General features: G+C 39.2%; 1 protein-coding gene across 19 annotated transcripts in view, besides 1 other annotated feature; it reads left to right on the top strand.

The window, feature by feature from the left end:
• The window catches only part of NPAS3 (neuronal PAS domain protein 3), an 869,389-nt gene that overhangs the window by 706,462 nt on the left and 139,035 nt on the right, over positions 1–23,892 (top strand). The window lies entirely within an intron of this gene.
• Positions 957–1,251: a silencer, noted in NCBI's record as "tiled region #868; HepG2 Repressive non-DNase unmatched - State 21:Repr". NCBI's record gives its function as "represses a minimal TATA promoter and a strong SV40 promoter by Sharpr-MPRA in HepG2 cells {active_cell/tissue: HepG2}" and the evidence as "EXISTENCE:reporter gene assay evidence [ECO:0000049][PMID:27701403]".

A 23,892-nucleotide genomic window follows, 5' to 3' on the forward strand; every position in this document is an offset into this window, starting at 1 on the left:
CCTCTCTGTAGTAGTCAAGAAGGCTCATGATTTCTAAGAATGCAGATTTCTTTGCTGTAATGTGCATGTTTTCATTGCTTTACTTCTAGTTGAATATGAAAAAAATAACACAGTCCCTAATTTAATCAAGCTGCAAATGTTTAAATATGAATTAATCTCCTCATACCAGCTAAAGGGCTTTTGTAGATTAGCCTACCTAACAAACTTCAAAATTTAACTCTTAAGTTTGTCATGTAACACCACTGGTCCCACAACTATAATTGTGTGTACCACTAGGGGCTAGGGGGTGATTCTTTTGACTGTGTCTGAGGTTATTAACTTCACAAGGAGAGTCTATGTCTAACTCATTTTTAACCCTGGTTCTGATACCTCTCTCCTGATGGAGAGCATCTAACCTCCTACTCCACATTTGTTTAAGCTTCTGGTAATGTAAACCCAGCATAGTGATGCTCCTAATTTTCTCGGTGTTTATTTCTGTCTATGGTCTCCTGACACTTCCTTTCATGAAAAATATATTACTATTGTGCCAAGGTTTGATGCCTATATTTCTGTTATAATTCTTTGTGCTAATGGTACAGCGGCATCGTGTCTTTATTTTTCAAATTGAATTGGTGGAGGAAAAGAAAATGCAGGTATGGTGAGAGTTTGCTGACCATATTGTCTTGCAGAAAGTTTTTTACCCCAAGTAAATTTCTCATTTGTTTTTTAGAGTTTGTGTTCAATAATTCATCGATTCCCAACAGCAGGGAAGAGTGAGAGATTTATGGTGTATGATTGTGTCATGTCTTGTTTTATCATGTCGATAGATAGAAAATTGACCACAACTACAAAAGCCTATTTATAATTCTATTTGATCACCATGGGAACTCATCAAAACAGAGGGCAGCGCTGAAGTTTCATTAACAGATCATCTCGGATCTCCTGCTGTGTCCTGTCTTCATTTTCTTTTCACATCATCCTTTTGCTTAGAGCTCTAGCTTTAGAGAGGAGGTCAGAGCCGCTGTAATGGCACATTTACCATTCCCCACCATCCCCCAGATTAATATTAAACTGTTAAAAGAAAATGAGAGTTTATTGATTGTTTTAAGCCAGGCATGTTCTAGCAGCGAGCCGCTATTCAGATTCAGCAAGCGGCAATAGATAACTGATTTCAATAAGAAGACAGAGAGGAATGTGGGCTGGGGATCAGAAGGGAGAGAGAACAATGGCCCAGGAATGTTTAATCTTTCTTATGGCACTAATCGTTACTTTTGCAATTTGTGATTGTTTATAGATCATTTCTTTTAAGTCTGGGTACAAGATTGAAAAATCTCAATCTAGACACTTAGATTTCTGCAGGAACAGTGTAGGGTCCTATTTAATGCTGCTGGGGGAAAATAAATGCAATTTTAGACTTGCTCTGTCTTTTTAAAGAAAAACTGCATTGTGCCTGCTTGCCAGTGGGGATACCAGTGTGCACCTATTTTTTTAATTAGCAGGAAAACTTTACAAGGTCACAACAGAGCATATTGTTTGTGGTGTCAGAGAAGCCTGGCTGAACCTCTCTTCCGGTGGTTTTGGTCTTCTCTCCAAATGGCCGGGATGGATGGAGAAAATGAATTCACAGATGGCTGTCTCACTGATCTCTTCTTTGTTTGCCAATATTGTGGCTGCCAAATTTACTGTGATGCAGAGGTATCTTGAGTAACTTTACAAGAGGCTCTTAAACCAAAAAAGTGTCCATGGATCAGAGAAATGGCTTTTATCTATAAGCCTTGTCATCTCCTCTCGCAATAATCTTCATATAAGTAATCATCTCATCATATATAGATCAATCAGCCTTGTTAATGCTCTGATCTCAGCTCTCACTTTTCAATGCAGCCCTCGTGACTAGGAACTATTTTCTTTGTAATTTGAGGTTTTGATTTAGTGGTCACATTAGTCTTGTCAGTTTGTAGCAGCATACCATGATGTTATTCATAACCAGTGATAGTATTATCTGCTATAAAGTTGCACTGTAAATCAGGAATAGTTGTCAACTTAAATATTTATGCATGTCTAGGGAAAGTAATTGTTAGGCAGACACCCTTTGCTGTAAAACACCAACACCCCAGTTCTGATGTGTTCGGAAAAAGAAAGAAATAAAAATTAAAAAAAAAAAAAAAAAAAAAAACGAGAGAGATGGAGCAAGAGGGCAAGAGACTGTGTAAAGTTAGCAGCACTGCTAAAATATTAGGATTAGAAGTTATTCGGATGTGTCAAAAAGCATCTTTGTTCTGTGGGTTAAGCAGTAAGCTCTCGGAGTTTGCCATTTGAGAGCTCCTTTGTGAGTTGGCTTTTTGGTCTTTGCTGTCACTGGTTCTGAAGGTTGAAGAGAAGAGCAGTGTCAGAAAGCTGATTGGTAGCACAGAATTTTCTGAGACAATCTGAATCACATATTCAGCTACTTTGCCACAGTGGATTAAGATGATCTAAAGGGGCTTTGTGAGCTCGATAAAAATCAGGCAGGAGAGTGTATGCTGGGAGAAATTCTACCCTTTTTGTCCTTCCAAGTTAATTGTTAAAGTTTTCTCTCTGCTGTCTGTAGAATTTTTCAAGCTCAAGTCCATTGTTTTTAAATAATGTATGTAAATTTTTGAAAACATGCAAATTGGGGAGAAGATTTTTTTTTTAACCTAAAGACTGCTTGTCTTGTCATTTCTCTTGTATATGATTGGTTCTGTCAAGTCTGACAAAGCTTTATTTAATTTCCACTCGAGATACTTGATCTTTATGATGTATTTTCTGCTTCATGCAAATTTATCACAAGACTAAAAGGTGAAAGAAAAAGTAGTGGCTTTCTTGTGTGGCTTTCTTGTGTCACTCGCTCTTCTTTAGTGGCATTGAAGACTTTCTTGTACCAATTCTATTAAAAATTATACATGAGTTCATAATATTTGCATAATTTATTAACACACTGATCAAAATGTGCCTTTTGCCATTGAAAATGTGAACATACTCCTTGAATATTGACTAAAATCTCATAACTTTTGGCAAACGAGCCATGAAACATATGTTCAGAAGTATGGCATGCAAAAGTAAATGGCATGAAATACCTTTATTTATATATTTATATTTTTGGCAGGGGCACTACACACATTTTGAACCCAAACTTGAAGCGTTAGAGTTATGCCTGTGTAGTGAGCAACACAGCACATTGCCTTTCTCATTTGGCCAGCCATTGGGTATGATGACACAAGTCAGAACCATGCCTTGGGATTTTCCTAGTGTCCTTCCCTTATCCTCAGCATAAGTCACATATCTGTTTTCATTTTCTTCACAGCATCACTTTGAGGTAGGTTTAGGAGAGGTAGTGTCATCTTTATTTCATACATGAGGACACTGAGGAATGAGCATTAGGTATCTTGCCAGAGGTCACAGAGCTAGGTACACAGATACAAGCGGAACCCGGGGCTTCTCCATCCCAGCCTAGGGTTCTGTTAGATACTGCCGTTTTTGCATCATGGATTTAAGTAACCAGATTTAGTTCCATGTTTTCTTTAAAAAAAGAAAATGCTAATCAAGAATAAAGATGAGGCCGGATGTGGTGGCTCATGCCTGTAATCCCAGCACTTTGAGAGGCAGAGGCGGGCGGATCACAAGGTCAGGGGTTTGAGACCAGCCTCACCAACATGGTGAAACCTCGTCTTTACTAAAAATACAAAATTTATCCAGGTGTGGTGGCGGGCACCTGTAATCCCAGCTACTTGGGAGGCTGAGGCAGGAGAATCGCTTGAAACCGGAAGGTGGAGGTTGCAATGAGCTGAGATTGCACCACCACACTCCAGCCTGGGCAACAAGAGTGAAACTCCATCTCAAAAAAAAAAAAAAAGAAAGAAAGAAAAAAGATGAGCGAATAGGACAAAACCACAATGACTAAGAACTGAGAAATGTCGAGAGTTGGTAAGTGCCTGAAATGGAAAGGGTGGATTTCTAAGGGCAGTTGTTCAGGGTACCTGATACTTAGTTCCTCAAAATCACCAAAAACTCTGTGAAGCTGCAGGTTCCTGGTTCCACTCTTGACTACTAAATGATATCCTCTGGGGGTGGGATTCCAGAATTGCATATTAACAAGCACAACAGATTTTCCTTGAGTACATTAAAGTCCACAGGCTCTGTGTAGTAATACCTAATTCATCAAAATAAAGGAAAATCTGTAATCAATGAAATATGGTCTAATAGCATTTTAGAGCATAATAAGAATGATAGAGTTACTGTCTCTGGTTTGCATTGGATTATTTAAAGCAATAGCTAAATTATCTCTAAATAGACAGATTAAGTATCTGCATAAAAGCAGCTCTAGGAAAACGATTCACTGAAGCCCTGTACCCTCCAAGAGCATGTGTTCCTAAGGCTTTACAGCAGAGAGGAGCTGCCTCTGGTGGGTTGCCTTCCAGCCTGGCAAAATGGAGCTGCCACTTGACCGAGTAATTCAAGGACTCTCTCTGTCACAGTGCTTCTGAGCTTGCTGCCATGGTCTTGTCATCCTGTGTGCCTAATGATAATCACACATTTGAGTGTCAATTTTGACAATTCAAAAATGAGAAGAGCTAGAGCACCTCTGTGGTTTCATCTAGGCCCAAGCCATGAAGCACTACATGAGTGCATGCGTCTCACATGTTCCTTCAACAGACCTTCATTGAGGGCCGTCACACCATGGGAGCTGGAAGCACAGCAGTAATGAAGAAAGAGAAGTTAATGCCTCTTGAAATGTATGTCTTTGCAAGGGGAGCTAGGTCAAAAGATAATTATATATGTGCTTAGTGCCGTGGATGAAAGGTGCAAGTGCTGTTAGAGCATCTAACAGGAAAAGTTAATCTAGTCTTGGGGTTCTCTGAGAAAACGAGGGGTCTGCTGAGGCCTGAAGGACAGGCAGAATTTAGCCAGGCAAAATTGGGACTGGAAGGCCATCCTGATTTTCCATTTATTAAAAAGGAAGGAGGGAAGGGATGTGACAAAAATACCTAGGCTATGTTCATTGTTTTACTCATCATATATGGAACATGATATCATATGTACAAAGGAGTAGGGGAAATGCCATCTATAAGAATAATCCATTACACTTAGCTTAACCTTTTCTTACATTTTCTTAAATTTATTTAAGACCCATTTTCTCTCCAGCCTTAGAATGTGTGTATATTTGCCATTATTTTATCTAGTAAATGGATGTCTGCGTAGATGACTGGTCAATCAATTGATCAAAATAATGTAGTCATAGTTCTGCCTCCTAGTATCTATATAATTCATAACATATATGAGTAACGATGAAATTATAGAAATAAGATTCATGCACTCATGTGATCTCATAGTCCTTCATGGCTTGGGCCTGGATAAAACATAGGTATCTTACCACAGCAGTGCTCTAGCTCTTTTTGTTTTCAAATTGTCCAAGTTGAATAGTCCATCAAAACTGTGTTCCCTTCTTACCAGATGTCTCCTGGAACAACTTTGAAAATGCCTTTGTTTGTGGTCTTTGGTGCCTGTGAGCTAGCAGGGCAGTACTCATTGCCACTTAACCATTTGCTCACACGTTAGCAATTCTTCAGCACTCACGAAGAGATTTGAGTGGGTCCTTATTTATAACATTTTTTTTTTACCTCTGTGGATCCAGAAACTCCCCCAGAGGTATAGAGTAATCAGCAGCAATGACTCAGGCAGCAAAGATTATTGTTCATGTGCCTACATTGTGGTAGCAACAAGGAGATAGTGTTTCACAGTAGGAGCTGTCTTGTAGTATCAGCTGTCCTTGAAGTAATGGGTTTCAATACTTTTGAAACAAAAGTGCTGTTGATCAAAATGATGTGAAAGTCAGGTATATTATTTTCTCATGGAAGCAATGTTTATGTCCTTAGGCTCAACTGTGTGATATGAATGACCACACACTAACTTGCTTAATGAACTAGATAGTCTAAGTATCCTCAGAGCATAAATCCTTCCAGAATGCACCAAATGGCATAGCACAGTAAGCAATTTCATACACTTACTCAGTTTATTACATCTTCTTACTCTCTCTCTCTCTCTCTCTCTATATATATATATATATAGCCACATGATGAAGAAACACCTGTATCATCATGAAAAGAAGGCTTCTTTAGTAATATTTTTGACCAGCATCTTCGAAGTGTATTAGGATCACTTGATCACTCTTTGATATACTTATGCTGCCTTCTGTTTCTTACTGTATTGTCCCCATAGCAAACAAAAGCGGTTATGATCTAGTTGTTAGTCATTCTGTTGTATTTAGAAATGGCAGGTCTTTATTCTTTCCTGAACTATCATCTCATTAACACCAATTGTTTCACCTTGAACCAATTTGATTTTAAATGCATGAAACAACTGCTATTTACACTGAAATTTTTACCCTCTGACTCGGCATCACTTTGTTATTTCACAATGTCAAGGATGCCTCCCAGTTGTGGCTTAAGTAGTAGCCAGATTTGAAGCATTCAGGGGTGACTCAGTCCTGAATCACAAAATCTCCCACCATTCCATCCCAGGTCACATCTTGCATGTTCCCGTATATAGTTGGTTTCAGCTGCTTTTTCCTTCCATTGATAATATTTTTAATTCTAGAGCTCATATACTCAGATAAACATGTAAACCTATAGATACATAGTCACTCAAATGGCAGGCCCATTGTATAGAACATCTTACTAACTCTTGAAATTACCTCGAAAAATAATTGCCCATCTTCATAACAAAGATGGATTTGTTAATTTATAGTCACTGAACACCCTTCCTTGGTGATAACCTATTTAACCTCCCCTGCTACCCTTTCTTCTCTCTCACCCCTCTCCGTTTGATTTTGCCCCCAGGTTACAAGAAAGGCTTAGAACTCTGTAAAGCAGAGAAGGGAACAGATCGAGACTAGCAGCCTGTGGGACCCTTTTGCTGAACCCACCAGGAAGCAAAGTTACTGAGATGAATTTATCTATAAGGGGCTGTCTGCCCACTACAGGAACAGAAGCTGCTATCATGGGTGTGACCAGCTTTGTGTTGTGAATGTAAATCATTCCATTTCAAATTGCTACAAGCTGACTTTAGGTCCATTGAAAACTTAGGTCCAAATAATAGTCCTGCATATACACAAAAGTATAGTCTTCCAATTGTGTCACTTTTTGAAAATAACTTGGGCATGTACCATTTACATCCCTAACCTATTTAATGTTTTAAAACATTTTTCACAGAAAACTTGTTTAACATTAAACTCCTAGAAAGGAAGGCTTTATGGAAATCTAAGAAAAAGTGTCTAAAAATAATCTTTGAAGGCCCAATTTATAGAATTCCAAGTCAATATAAACATACATTTTCTGCTTGCTAATGAACTGCCATAGTTTGGCTTACAGGGACAGCACAAAAAGTATTTCTATCCTCTGGACTGGCATAGAGTTGAACACATCCCAGTGCGTGTGTGAAGCCAGGCTCAGAGGGCAGTGATGTCCTCACATCTCTCCCCTGGGTATGGGAAGACAGCCTGCTCTCCTTTTTAGTGGTCGTTTGGCTAAACCACTGTCATTTAGCCTCATAGTCCATCATCACCAGTGAAGCCCTCCAGAATCTCACTTGCCATTGTCTCTATTCTAAATTTACTCTAGTTTGTCAATGTCCCATTGGTGCTGAGGAGCACAGTGTGGCCTTGTGCTGCCCCCCAGAATTCTAGATGAACAGCAGCGAATTGTGAGGGTCCTTGCCTTGCAGTTTTCCTCTGTTGAGGAACTCATCCTGTGAAAGTACCCGTTTCCCAAGAACTTACCATTGGGAGGTAGAGGGAAGCACCCTATACAGGCAATAACTCAAATTTGAGTTCATTCTAACCAAAACTGGCCTTTGTTTCCATTCTTTAAAGGAACCCACAATGCCCTATAGGTTATGTATTCATTCAAATGACAATCCCAGTATACAAAACTTGATTGTCTCTCTGTCCATGCACCTCCTGTCCTAAATGAAGTGGACAGTTAACACCTGTTCTCAAATACTCACATGGGGCTGTTTAACTGAAATAAGGCACTTACAGCAGCTGGCCAGATGTCTTCACCTCAAAAAGACGGTTTCACCCTGCCCGTTGACAAAACTGGCTCAAGAGACATGACGCTGGAAACCAGCATAGTTACACCATCGAGGGTTGCACAGGGCTGAAAGCCCTTCAAAATCTGACTTAGTATGTCTGGGATGCCAACAGTACGGTACTGTAACAAATGTATAAAAGATGCTATTCCCATCTCATGTCACAAAATGGACACTTACTTTTATTGTAGAACTCGGCTATTAATATTTTATCATAGATTGTTTTATATACTCCATTGTAAGTTGGTTATTGTGTCGGATGCATACTTTGAAACTTAACTTTTTTAGTTCCTACATAAGGAAGGCTTCATGAGGTGGAAGAAGTGAGCTGAATTTTACTAATTTGGTAAGCAATAAGAAGGAAGAAAGGCCAAAAAGGAGAATAGGCAGGGAAGGGGAATAGGGTATGAAGAAGACAAGCTAAATCAGAAAACTCTAAGAAACAGACTGCATATAATAAAGGAAATGATGAATACAGCACTGGGGATGACAACAGAAATAATGAAGTCATCACAGTGGGTTGGCTGCAGAGAGAGAAACCAAGTTTGACCAGAGTGGTTGTAGTGTGGAAGGCAGGAAGGGCCAGGGAAGAGGTCTTTAAAGAATATATTTTCTGGCAAAGGTCAAGCCACCCAACCAATAGCTTTCAGACTTTAACAGGAGAGGAATATCCTGGGATTCCTGTTTAGAATACAGATTCCCTGGCCCCGTCCCAGGACAGTCTGATTTAGTGCCTTAAATGGGACCAGGAGGATGTGTTTTTAAGAAGGTCGACTGATTCTGCATTTTGTACAGACACAGGCAATACTCAGACCTCACTTCGAGAAAACTCTATAAGGAAAGCAAAGAAAATCTTGCGCATTGTAACAGCAGCAACTTATTAGAAGAGAACAGAGGTTGCTTGTAGGTAAGGAATATGCTACCTTAACGCAAGCAGGAAACAAGGCAGATTGACATAGAATTATTGCTGCACAGACAGACAGGATGTTTGAGATGCTGCAGGGATAGTGGGGCAAGAGAAAAGATTTCTTAAGTTTATTTCCCAGATGTAAATCAGCCTTTGCCCTTTGTAGCTAGAGACATCCCTCACCCCAATTGAAGAAAAAAAAACCCTCAAAGAAACCTATGAAAATAATTAAGCATGATAATTCTGGATTATCCTTAATTAGAGGGAAGCTCTAGTGAGCTCCGAGCTTTGGAGGGTCATCATACATTTGTTGCAAGTGATCTGTCACTGTTCCACGTGCACATTATTCATCCCTTCACCTCTGATCTTCCCCTCCTCTGAGCACAGCCCTCTGCAAGGACCCTGCACTTAGGCTGCAGAATAAAAGACATCCCCTCACACAGCTCCTGCTGCCACTGTAGATGACATGTCTCTTCTGGGGGCTCTAAGATGGAGAAAATCTTTTCCTCTCTCTCTCTCTCTCTCTCTCATTCTGTGCTGACTCCTTGGTGCCAGGCCCATGCCTCTGCCAGGAGCAGCAGCCTATCTCTCGTGGTGAGCCCCTCAAAGGACTTGGGTCCTTGTTGCAGGAGCAGGAGCAGGACCCAGGCCAGAACCGACAGACTTGAAGCAGTTCTGATGCCCATTGTAGGTCTGAGGATTCCAGCCACATGGAACAAGAAGAGGGAAAGCAAGGGAGGAAGGAAGGGAGGCTTGGCAAGAGAAAAGGAAAAAGCCAGATCAAACACAAAGGGAAGAAAGGAGCCAGACAAAGACTGCGGTCATCCCCTCTTCTTCTAAGAAAGACAGGTCAACAACCATCTCTCTGCCTCTTTGAGACTTTGTTCACAAGGCCCGTGCAGAAATCATCACACCTCCTACAACTTAGGCTGTGAAGCCTTTTTCGCGCCATGCAGTGCCATCTTCCTTTCTCCCGCCAAAGTGCTGCACTCTGCCTTTGTACGGGGACGTGCCACTCTGCATCAGTTAGTTGGTTGTATGTCCACTTTTCAGTTAGCACAGATCTGTCTTCTTCCTGGTACCCCGATCATACATAGGACATCACTGTTCATAGGCTAGGTGGGTAATAAGTACTTACTGAGTTTTCAAAGTTAAATCATTCTTTTCTCCCTGGATCCAGTTCCTTAAGTTGTTTAGCTTTATATTAAGGAAGTCCCTGAAGACTCTCTTTTAGGTTAGGGAAATTGAAATGCATTTTAAATAAGCACCATCTCAACTGATATAAGATAATTAGAATACAAATTATATATTAAAAAAACCCACAAGTATATAGCTTTGAGGTCAGAGCTGGGTCTGTAGTCCAGCTCTGTCACTAATTCCTTGGTGAAAGTCAGGAGACTTGTACCTTTTCTCTATACCTCTGTTTCCTCTATTTGTACATTAAGGATAATAATACCCCCTTTCTATAAGGTCATTATGAAGAGGAAAAAAACTGATATAAAAGTACCTGATAGACGTAAATGCTCAATACATGTTAGTTTGGTTTGTTTCCTTCCCTTTTAATTTTGGAGTAGGCCACTTTTGGTGGCTTATTTTTCTTTTCCTAGAAATAACATTTCTAGTGGGCAAAAATATTAAGTAGCACCCAGCGTTTCCATTAATAACATTAACAACATGTTAAAGTTTAAAAATGATAAGGCTTAGCATGGCAGCCTGCTACCCATACAACCAGTCATGAGGTGTTCCACATCCCAGCCCTGCCTTTTATTTCATTTTGATTTGTTTATTAATCATCAGCTGAGATTTTTGACAAATACGGTTAAAAATCAAAAGCTGTGCTTTGGAGACATTCATGCTACTTTTACTTGTATTAAATTTGCAAGGAAAATTTATGTGTAAGTAAATATGAAAACTGTGAGTCACTGTGAATATTTGTATGTATTCTCATAAAATTATCTTGGCATCCTTATATTTTGTTGTAATGGGTGTCAAGGACTTCTCTTTGCTCTAAATGGGAATATTTACTGATTAAGAGCTTGCTGTTGCATTCTCCTCTGCTATAACCTGAGGAAACAGCACCTTTTCACCTTTGAAACCAGCGTTTCCATATTACTCATGCCAGTCTTTTCTCACTAATTTTATGATTATAATGAGGCAGTGGTGCACTAGTTAGCACAGATGACCTTCTAATTGAAAGACTGTAAATTCAATCTCCATCTCTGGGCACCGACAGAAATTTAAATAAATATAGCTCCTAAAACCCTTGTGATGGGCTGGCCTAGTGACCAGGGGCTCGCAGAGCCCAAGTCATATGTCACAGGGGACCGCCGGCAACTTCTGGGTGTTAACTACAGGAGTCGTTAAAAGTAGGTTGCCCTCACGAAGCAAAACGAGATGAGGGACTTTTCCTTGGCTCTGATTCAGGCGCCATGCCTTGGTTCTCTGTAACATATGCTGAGTTGCTTTTTTGTCAAACTGCTTCCTAAAACTGGAGTCCGAACACGAGGGGAAGCTCCATTCTCAAATTGGACTTAAGCAGACCAGAAAAGTCTTATCTACCAGGCCACCTTTTGTCCACTGCCATTTATAGATTTAGATGCAATAAGCTGTCCAGGGCTATGTTGACATCATCCCCTTGCTTGCTGTATTCACCCCCATTTCTCACCCCCGTGACCTTGGACAGCAATCCAATTTAGGTTTCCAAAGTGAACTGCCCTGAGGATCAAGATGGGTGTGAAAAGCTGTTTTAATGGTCAGTCCGAGGAAGGAATCCATGGAGCTGTAATGCTGGCAACATTTGTACCAAATAATGGAGCACTTGCCCTTGGCATATTTTTGACCTTCCATTTTGCCTTTAACACTGTTACTTGTGTGTACATGTCTCTTATCGTGAGCCACCTTGAATCTCTTTGGGAAGCAAGTTGCATATAATTTTTTAACTAACTAGCTGCTTTAAAGTAGGTCCCTGGACCTTGCCAACAGCTACCTAAAAATGGCCCCGTATTGCTGACAATGCCTTAAAGCTGACTCTTGGGTTGTCAGCATGGTGCGTCTTTATCCTGTGTATATCACAGAAACACAATGGAAATTTCCCATTGCCTTTAAAGTTCTGCATTCTGTATATTTGGTTGTTAGACAAATAGAGCAAGCTTTGCCGACTTCATTTTCATTCTTGGCAGCATGTTTTTATCATAAGGCAGATAGTCATTAATTTACAGAATCAACGCTGGGAACAGCTTTTGTGATCTCATATTAAATTTTCCCCTGAATCCGCCCCTTGGCAAAAATTACTCACATCGTTAAAAAATATTTAATTAGGCTGTAGTTTATACCCAGCTCACTGGGGAAATGTTGGAATTAATATGATTTGCATGAATTCTGTTTCTCTCTTTCTGTCAGAGATTAGTTTTGAATTCAGTTCAGAGGGTCGTTGACACTGCCAAGGACTCACAATCGTGAAGGTCAAACAGGTAGCAAATACTTCCCTTGGGTAGGTTCCCTGAAAAGACAGCTCAAAATTGCTTTTAATTATGGGTTACCTGAAAGGCCACTTGCTGTTTTTATTTTTCTACAGATCCCTGAAACACTGCATGATTGGAAGTTTTAGGTAAACCATTTTATTCCTAACTAAAACAGGCCCGTTATTGTGTAGAAATAGATGTGCCTAAAGGTGTGGTCCCCAAATGATTTTCCTCGTAACTCACTGATTTCTGTGGTTTGTTCACAAAAGAGAAAGTCTCCCCACCTTGAACTGGGATGTAGAGATGCTGGATAAAGGCAGTCTTATAAGACAGCCAGCAGTGAGTAAATTTTCTACATAGTAATGCATCTGCTTGCTTAATTATCTTTCAAAAGATAAGATACAATGTTTAGTTATGCATTTCCTTGTTTATTCTTCCATGGGTTAGGAACAAAACCTTAGGGAATCCACAATCCTGTGCCATTTTTTTTTTTCAAAAGAAAATTTAATGGAATATTTAATTAATAATCTAATCAATCAATTAATCTCAGTTACATAAGTGTTGAAATCTAATTCTTTTTCACAGCTATATCAATAAAAGAAGTGAAATGGCTGCCCACTTATCAGGATAATAGGAAGCCATTGCAGACACAAAGAAGAATTGAAATTGTATTAATTCTGCTGCACTGGTTCTGATTTGCCAGTGTTAACAAAGTCTTTCCATTTTAGACAAGTTTCGGTTCACCTGCTGGGACCACCAGGTAGATATTTTATGTCCTAACCTTTTCCAGTGGTGAAAAAAAGTGACGATTAGATTTTTTTAAAGAAAAATTCCCAAAAATTTAGGCTCTGCAGCTCTAAGTAAAGACGCATTCCAAATAATAAAAGGGCATTTAACCTCTTTAGACATTACCTTTGTCTTTATTGTTAAGTTTAAAAATTATAAACCATCTGCCTTCAAAGCATGTATAGACCACACCATGCTGCTGACTAGCCAACTGTTGGTGCATAAATATTTATATCCCAAGTGATTTCTATGGGGCTTCTTTCAACACTGGAAAGGTGAGCTGCAGTTTGACCCTCACTTCAAAAAATCCCGAGTCAAGTCACTCACAGGGAGTGGATGCCAGGTGTATCTATTGCAATCATAGTTTTATTTGATGACACTGCTCATGAAGATCACCACGTGTTCCTGATTACAAAGTGTTCTAAATTGGAGGAAACTTAAAATGGGAGAAAGGAGGAAGGCTAGAACTTTCTGAATACATATACCCTGCTGGACACTGCTATAGGTGATTTACACACACGATCTCATTCAATCTTCAGAACACCCTGCAAGGTGGATGTAACTGCCTCCACTGTACGGATGAGGAAGATAAAGTTCAAAGAAGCAGAGTAGATAGATCTTTTCAGTTCAGCCCCTTCCTTTTATACATGAACCTGGAGGGAATAATACCCACCTAATCAACACAGGGAGGTAATCTCAAAGCTGAGACTAGAACCCAGTTCTCCTAACTACCTGCATAGCCCTCAGGCATGTGTCTGCATTTTCCCAAATACACCCTGTGACCAGCTCAAGCTGACAAAAGTATTAAATAAAAACTAGCCCAACTTTTTCTCTATATACCTTTGGCTCTTTTTTTTTTTTTTTTTTTTTTTTAACAGCAAGTGAACTCTTTTGCTTTTCCCAGATAAATCCAAGCATGCATGTGGCTTTGTGAAATCTTTTAACACAACAGGGCAATGTACATCCAGCTAACTGGCAGAAGGCAATTCATATAAAAACTTAACAGCACTTTTCTACTATTCTTGCCTGAATATATGAAAAACAAAATATATGACTGTAAGAGAATGGGTGAGAGAGAACAGTGTTTACATTACCGGAAATTTTACAAATGCACGTAGCACTAGGGATATTAACTCAGCTTGGAAAAAGGAAGTGGATGACTCAGGAAGCCCAAAGAATCCTTTTCCATTTAGTTTTCTTCATTGTTGTTTGCTTTCGCCTTGTTGTTGTTTTGGGTTTTTTGTTTTGTTTCGTTTCTCCTGTAGTGGCCTTTTTGAAGAGTACAAGACTGCAAGAACTTGTACCCCCTCATATCTCTTCAAGGTAGTAAATCTCAATATTTCATCCCATAGTCTCAAAAAACCACAAAGTTGGGTAAAAGTCATACCGTTTGCATCAAGTTTTCTATCTATTTGCAAACAAACATCCTCTTTTCCTTCACTCTGAGCAGAAATAAATTATGGGAATAACTCTTGAGGCCATAGTCTAAATAGGGACATTCTGAGGCCACCAGTTTTCTCACTTGGTGGTTGTGCCCCACCGCATTACCAGATGCCTCTCTTGTCTCTATTCCTACTGCTGTGCTACTGAAGCAAAAAATAAGTTTAGTATCGAATTTCTGTTCAGTCAGACTTTCCACAACTAGACCTACTTGAAAAGCATTGTGTTTGAGGTACACTGCAAACAGAAGACTAGTAGTTTGGGGACTTTCTTAATGATTGGCACAATTAAGTACTGTGCTAACTGTGTGGCATGTATTGGTTTCTCTTATCAATTGTAATTCAGGGCAAGGAGTCCACGTGGGTAATGATTGTTGTTGTTCTTATTATTACAGCTGCCAGTTATTAGCTGCCTAACATATGCCAGTCACATTATTCATCTTATTTAATTCTCTCAACAACCCAAGAGTAAGTTGTAAAAGTCTCATTTTACAGATGAGAAGATGGAGGCTTACAGTTAGAAAGTAGGAGAGCTGAGATTCCAACTCTGGCCTTTTCAACTCCAAGGTCAAAATGCACCCTTCCTTCAACCAAAGCAATGTCTGAAACAAAGATCACTGGAATGTGACACAGACTGATTTCTTCTTTTTAAAATTTTTTAATTGAAATTGTGTGTATTTGAGGTGTATAGCATGATGTTTTGATATACATATTCATAATGAACTTAGTGAACTGAGGTTACTCTAGTCCAGCTAGAGTTTACATCTCTTTTCACAGTTACCTTTCTTTGGTGGTGAGAGCACTTAAGATCTACTCTTTGCAAATTTTAAATATACAATACAGTATTATTAACTGTAGTCTCCATGCTGTACATTAGATCTCTAGAACTTATTCTGTGTATCTAAAACTTTGTACACCCTAACCAAAATCTCCCATTTCCTTCACTTCCTCACCCATTATCCAAAGAAAATGAAATTAGTATGTCAAAGAGATATCTGCCCTTTCGTGTTCATTGCAGCCTTATTCACAGTAGCCAAGATACGGAATCAACCTAAGGGTTCATCAGTAGATGAATGGATAATGAAACACACACACAGAGGAATATTATTTGCCCTTAAAAAGGTAGATCCTGCCATTTGTAATGCCAATGAACATGGAGGACATCGCGCTAAGTGAAATAACAGCAGACACAGAAAGACAAATACTTCTATGTGAAAGCTACAAAAGTCAAATTCATAGAAACAGACTGATTTATAGCCTTGATTGTGCATCTGATGCAGCTGTGAGACTGTAACAAGCCCCTAAAGTTCTGAATCTCAGGTCTTTAGTCTGACATACAAATGATAACAACACAGGGTCCCAGAGAGGAGAGAGGCCACATACAGAAAAGCCTTCTAAGGTCATCAGTTTAATCAAACCAACAAGCATTTATTGAGCACAGTGCTAGGTGTCTTGGGAACTATAATGATGAATAGGATATCATCCCAGACATAAAGAAGCCTGAATTCTAGAAAAGACTTTAATATGAGTATACAGTTAACTAAGTAGAAAGTGTAGTTTCTTAAGTTCCTGGAAGAAGTCATTTCCATTTCCTCTCCAACTATGACATTTTTGATACTGAAGGAAAAAGGACAGATGAAAATTGATTAGAGAAAGTTTTCCTACAGCATGTGTGAGATTGCTTTAATAAAGAGGGGAAGAGGAAGCGGGAGTCAGGCTCTCTTTCCACTTTACTATTAATACTTCCCTAGACCCGGTTGCTGGTGACTCAACACTATGCTGGCTGCCCTTGGCAGGAGTAGTCCTCATGGATTTATTTTTCACATAAAATTGTTCAAATACACAGGCATTAATTATGCAGATTATGTAAAAAAAAAAAAGATAATTGTGTTACTCTTGCAGTGGGAGTGGGGTGCGTTGCAGTCAGTGGATAACATCTAGTTCTAGGTGAGGGATGTCAAATTGACTGCAGGAAGCGATAGAAATGCCAACTCTTCCAAGTAAATATCGCCACTTACTCCAAGCGCACGCTCCTCGAAGCTCCTACAAATCTTAGGTGTCGATTTTCTGGGATGCCAGCCACACTCCTTTCCCGCCTCTCAGCCCGAAAGGGCAGCAAGCCTTGCCCAAGCTCTTTCTGCTATGGTTTCTTTCACCTTTGTGGCTGCCACTCTTATAATAAGTAGACACTGTAGAAATTGAGGGGAACTGTTTATGTGCTTAGAAGACTTTATAGATGTTTCCTAATTCATTCTCCTCATCAGAGGAAGCAAAGATTGCCTCTTCAAGACAACAAGTTAAAAACTGGAGAGACAGAAAAGGTACAGTGACTTATCCAGCCTCATTTCAAGAATCAGTGGTGAAGACAGATAGAGGAGAAACAAGAACAGACTTTTGTTTCCCAGGCTAACATTTAAGCCAGTAGTTTATATTATGACTTTTTATATTAATAGTGTCACCTTAACTTAGTTGGTCTGTTTCTATCTTTTTCTTCTGTTTTGAAAACTGATTTCACATATCCCCCGAGGTAATGCAGTATACCAGCAAGTCTAACACAGTGGTTCTCCCTCTACTTCCATCAATAAAACACGTTCTTTAAGCTAAACCTTTGGGAATGACCAAAACCAAATAAAACACACCAGTATAGAGCTGCTCTAGTTGGAAAGTGAGAGAGAGAGGCCTCAGAGGTATCCCAGGGACTCCTTAACCTGGAGCCCATAGGTAGGCTCATGTCATCTATAATTTCCTCAAATGACTTGCAATGTCAGGGGGAGGATGGGGAAGGAAACCACACTGTTCATTAGAGATGCAAAGACTCTGTGATCCCTGTGGATCAAAGGCAGCTGTCTTTTGGTTCAGCATGAGACCCATCTTCATCCCCCACTAATAGTGTATTAATAATGCTCCTGAATCAAGTTGAAGTGGTTTTGAGTTTCTAATGGCTATGCCGTACGTTTGATTCTAAATCTCAAAAGATCAGATTCAACAGCCCAACTATGGGCTCCTGTTAATATAATGAATAGGTAGGCATAATAGATAAGCTGCCATATTACTCTGGGACCCCAAATAATTAGCAAACCCTTCTGAATCACCTCATTTCTCAATACAATTTCAATGCCGTTTTTTCACTTACTTGCTCATTCGTTCAATTAACACATAGAACATTTTCTATGCACCAAGGTTTGTAGAAATGAATTAGATATGGCTGCTGCCCTGAAGAAGCTTACAGTCAAGTGAATGAATATACACTTACACTTAATATACGCCAGGTTTCCTTTGTTTTACACATTGTATGCATTACCTCATTTAATTTTGACCACAGGAAGGTAGATGCCATTATTATCTTTACTTTATAACAGAGGAAACGCCAGAGTAACTTGCCCAAAGTGGGTAATGGTTTCATTCCCAAGCCATTTGCCTCTAGAGTCTACGTTAATGACCAGTGCCTTCTATTAGGAACATGTAAGAGCGTTAGAAAATCTCCCAGGACATAGCTCATTGTGTCTATACAATTAGCCATGAAACTGGACCTGACTGTCCCAGAACCCAACCAAATATTCTAGTCCAACAAATGTACCTTGTTTGTCTGGCTATCCTGGGAAGTCCCTTTTAGCAAACAGAGCAAGAACTTATTAGCCTCAAAGACAGAACTTCATTTCTAAATGACACAATTAAAACTAGAACAAGAGACTTAATAATAATTGTATACAGTCAGCCAAAGCCATTAGATTGTAAGGAAGGGCTGACTGTCAATTCTACTAATAGTTTACTAGAAACCATACCTTTAATAATCTCTATTTCATCTAAGGAAGCAAAAAAAAAAGTAGCATTAGAGTGATAATGACTCATTAGTGACTTGAAATTGGGATTCTGTTGCTTTGTTTTGTGTTGTGCTTAGGTAGTGCTGTTCAGACAATAGAATACATCTCAGAAAAATCAAAGGATGGTCAATGGTAGAAACAAAAAGAATCCCCAGGTATAAAGGAACCAAATGGACTTCGCTAAATGAAAACCCCTGAGCATTTTGCATGAAGAATATGTAATCACCCCAGCGCCCCCCAGGACCACTCTCCTGAGGCTCACAAAGGGTTGGTTGTTCCACATGGAAGAAATGCATGAGAACAGTAAAGTGTATGCATATCACAAGAGGGACAGACTTTCTAGCCTGAGGTCTAGAATGAAAAAATGTTAAGGTAAAAAGGCAGAAATGAATACCTGGGTGCTAATAAAAATGGACAGTTTGCCCATTGCTTCGGTGATGCCAAATGGATGAGCTAAGAAAACCTGCTGTGTTCTCTCATGAAGTCCCCGATCCCCATTAAGGAAAATGGGTATGAGCTAATCATCTCTAACAACTAAGTCTGCCATGTCCAAGCCATCTCCATCAGTTCCTTCTCCAGCTTTTATTTCTCATAACTCATTTCTAAACTGAAACTGTTATTCCTGAGGCTTCCTTGTTCTTTTATGGATAAAGAAAGAGCTGCAGTTGAGTCTTCACAAAAGTTGCCCGTAAATCCCTGAGTCATCCTTGTTTTGATTTTGTTTTGTGTTTTTCTATCCCTCTTGGTATGGATTGCATGAAATTTTCCATTTGCAAAAGGGTTTAATCAACAGTAAATGTTTTGAATCAGATTAAAAACACAAATACTTTAAGAGCTATGTATTTATTCTGTCCCGCTAGATGCAGTCATTTTATCTTGTTGTTCTGGAGGGCAACGCAAAGCCATAGATGCTCTAATGAATTCCTTGCAACAGGCAGGTACACTGATGGTTAATAGTAATTAACGTTTATCTTAAAATATCCCGGGTTCTTCTGCAGAATTCTTCCCCTGCTCCTTGACACATCAAAAATGGGAAATCATCTATGAGACTGTTTTATTCGTCTCTGTTTTCGGACAGCACATTTACATACTCTCGAAGGCAATCAATACCAGCAAGCCCAGGACTTCCAAGAGTCCTTAATTATACACCTAAGAATGCATATGTATTCACATGTAATACTTGTGTTTCTTCAGTGTTTCCCCCACCTTTTTAGCTGATATGTGTTAAGAGTCTTTCTTTGAAAGCGAAGAGTAAAATAAAGAGAATAACAAGAAAATACACAATGTGTTGTTAAATGTGATGGCAAAATAATTTTTTTTAAAAAGAAGCTTCAGTCAGTATGATCAGTAAAAGGAAAAAAAAAAAAAAAAAGACAGCCGGCAAACTGTCTATCATGTGATGAAATTTGACAGTAGGGATTATGGCTTTGATGGACCAGAACAGCTAATAGAAGAAGCTGACATTTTTGAAACCCTGCTAATTAAGGGTTCCTTCCTTAATATTAAAATAAAGTCTTTGTCTGGGTTTTATGGTTGGAGAATCAGGTGTTTTCATTAATATATGCCAGTCAGTCTTAATAAGCTTGGAGGGCAGAGGAAGTTATTATTGAGTGACCTTCTACAAAATAAGCATGTTGCTAAGGGCTCTAACCCTGCCCCGTTCAGACTGATGAATCTCATTTCCAATGCAAAAGCTTCACAAGAAATCCAAGTATTCTCTGCGCAATCACAGAAAATAATCCTTGTGTCTCCTGTAATGTCCAGAATTGCCACTTACTACACTACTACTGTACAATGAATATTACAATACATATTATTTTTCTACCACAATTGTCTACATTTCTGAATTGCCCAGAATAGGAAAACTTATTGTGAAGACACTTGTATTGAAAAGTCAGCTCATTTTAATACTTTTCAAATAGTCACCTACTCTGTTCATGAATTATAGTGCTCACAATACATCTGACAATACTGGCTTTGAAAAGGAGATATGTCTATATTATTACATATTCATTTTCAAATAGATTTCAAACAGATTTTAAACCATTCATTGAAATTCATTGAAATGATAAATTCACAGTTGGATTTTGATTGACTCTTAATCCAATTTTACTTTTGATAAGTTTTCACCCCTCTCTTCCCACCCACTCCCAACCTTTCTCAACCAATGCATTTTTGCTCTTCTGTTGGCTTTTAAGGCAAAACTGAAGGGGTTTGGTAAAACTGGAAGGTTTTGATAACCACATGTAAAGCTTGTCAAAATGAATTGGTAAATTTAATCAAATTCAGAAGGCACAACACTATAGGTGATTTTTCTGGCTAATTTCCAATGTATCAGTGCTCTCTTATGGAAGCAAGGTTTATGGTAGCTGTTCACAACCTAAAGCAAAACTTTGAAAGAGTCTTTCAGTTACTCAGCCATGCCACCATATCTAGACGGCATGGAAATGCGCAGCTAGACAAGGTACTTGGTGTTGGGTTAGTAGATCACACAGGTTGAGGTTTTGTGGTTGCCCAGTTAAAAGGGCATTATTGAAATACTCTTCATCTTGAGCTCTTTCTGCCTGCCCTAGGAAGAAAAGTTGGTTAGCACCACTGGTAGCACCACTGTTGCTGGACTTGTGGTCAAGTAAAAAGACAACAACCCTACTGAGTTCTCTTGGGAGAAGGAAGAAGCTAGATTTAAAATTCCAAAATGTGGTTCCACATGAAATTTAAAGTAGTTTTTTCTAATTCTGTGAAGAAAGTCAATGGTAGCTTGATGGGGATAGCATTGAATCTATAAATTACCTTGGGCAGTATGGCCATTTTCACGATATTGATTCTTCCTATCCATGAGCATGGAATGTTCTTCCATTTGCTTGTGTCCTCTCTTATTTCCTTAAGCAGTGGTTTGTAGTTCTCCTTGAAGAGGTCTTTCGCGTCCCTTGTACATTGTATTCCTAGGTATTTTATTCTCTTTGTAGTAATTGTGAATGGGAGTTCACTCATGATTTAGGTCTCTGTTTGTCTATTATTGGTGTATAGGAATGCTTGTAGTTTTTGCACACTGATTTTGTATCCTGAGACTTTGCTGAAGTTGCTTATCAGCTTGAGGAGATTTGGGGCTGAGACAATGGGGTTTTCCTTTTTTTTTTTTTTTTTTTTTTTTTCTGTTGCCCAGACTGGAGTGCGGTGGCACGATCTCAGCTCACTGCAACCTCCGCCTCCTGGGTTCACGCCATTCTCCTGCCTCAGCCTCCTGAGTGGGTTTTCTAAATAGACAATCATGTCATCTGCAAACAGACAATATGACTTCCTCTCTTCCTATTTGAATACCCTTTATTTTTTTTCTCTTGCCTGATTGCGCTGGCCAGAACTTCCAATACTATGTTGAATAGGAGAGAGGGCATCCTTGTCTTGTGCCAGTTTTCAAAGGGAATGCTTCCAGCTTTTGCCCATTCAGTGTGATATTGGCTGTGGGTTTGTCATAAATAGCTCTTATTATTTTGAGATACATTCCATCAATACCTAGTTCACTGAGCGTTTTTAGCATGAAGGGGTGTTGAATTTTATCGAAGGCCTTTATCTGTTGAGATAATCATGAGGTTTTTGTCATTGGTTCTGTTTATGTGATGGATTATGTTTATTGATTTGCGTATGTTGAACCAGCCTTGCATCCCAGGGATGAAGCCAACTTGATCTTGGTGGATAAGCTTTTTGATGTGCTGCTGGATTCGGTTTGCCAGTATTTTATTGAGGATTTTCAAATCGATGTTCATCAGGGATATTGGCCTGAAATTTTCTTTTTTTGTTGTGTCTCTGCCAGGTTTTGGTATCAAGATGAGTTAGGGAGGAGTCTCTCTTTCTATTGTTTGGAACAGTTTCAGAAGGATGGTACGGGCTCCTCTTTGTACCTCTGGTAGAATTCAGCTATGAATCCGTCTGGTCCTGGGGTTTTTTTGGTTGGTAGGCTATTAATTACTGCCTCAATTTCAGAACTTGTTATTGGTCTATTCAGGGATTCTACTTCTTCCTGGTTTAGTCTTGGGAGGGTGTATGTGTCCAGGAATGTATCCATTTCTTCTAGATTTTCTATTTTATTTGCATAGAGGTGTTTATTGTCTGATGGTAGTTTGTATTTCTGTGGGATCAGTGGTGATATCCCATTTACCATTTTTTATTGTGTCTATTTGATTCTTCTCTCTTTTCCTCTTTATCAGTCTGGCTAGTGGTCTATTTCGTTAATCTTTTCAAAAAAAAAAACAGCTCCTGGATTCATTGATTTTTTTGAAGGGGTTTTCGTGTCTCTATCCCAAAAAAGAGCCTTCATAGCCAAGACAATCCTAAGCAAAAAGAACAAAGCTGGAGACATCATGCCACCTGACTTCGAACTATACTACAATGCTACAGTAATCAAAACAGTGTGGTACTGGTACCAAAACAGATATACAGACCACTGGAACAGAACAGTGGCCTCAGAAATAACGCTGCATATCTACAACCATCTGATCTTTGACAAACCTGACAAAAGCAAGCAATGGGGAAAGGATTCCCTATTTAACAAACGGTGTTGAGAAAACCGGCTAGCCATATGCAGAAAACTGAAACTGGACCCTTTCCTTACACCTTATACAAAAATTAACTCGAGATGGATTAAAGACTTAAACATAAGACCTAAAACCATAAAAACCCTAGAAGAAAACCAAGGCAATACCATTCAGGACATAGGCATGGGCAAAGGCTTCATGACTAAAACACCAAAAGCAATGGCAACAAGAGCCAAAATGGACAAATGGGATCCAATTAAACTAAAGAGCTTCTGCACAGCAAAAGAAACTATCAGAGTGAACAGGCAATCTACAGAATGGGAGAAAATTTTTGCAATCTGTCCATCTGACAAAGGGCTAATATCCAGAATCTACAAGGAACTCAAACAAATTTATAAGAAAAAACCCCATCAAAAAGTAGGCAAAGGATATAAACAGACAGTTCTCAAAAGAAGACATTTATGTGGCCAACAAACATATGAAAAAAGGCTCAACATCACTGGCCATCAGAGAAATGCAAATCAAAACCACAGTGAGATACCATCTCACACCAGTTAGAATGGCGATTATTAAAAAGTCAGGAAACAACAGATCCTAGAGAGGATGTGGAGATAGGAACGCTTTTACACCGTTGGTGGGAGTGTAAACTCGTTCAACCATTGTGGAAGACAGTGTGGCGATTCCTCAAGGATCTAGAACCAGAAATACCATTTGACCCAGCCATCCCATTACTGGGTATATACCCAGAGGATTATAAATCATTCTGCTATAAAGACACATGCGCACACATGTTTACTGCAGCACTGTTCACAATAGCAAAGACTTGGAACCATCCCAGATGCCCATCGATGATAGGCTGGATAAAGA

This window comes from Homo sapiens, chromosome 14, assembly GCF_000001405.40.
Source record: "Homo sapiens chromosome 14, GRCh38.p14 Primary Assembly".
Classification (NCBI taxonomy): domain Eukaryota; kingdom Metazoa; phylum Chordata; class Mammalia; order Primates; family Hominidae; genus Homo; species Homo sapiens.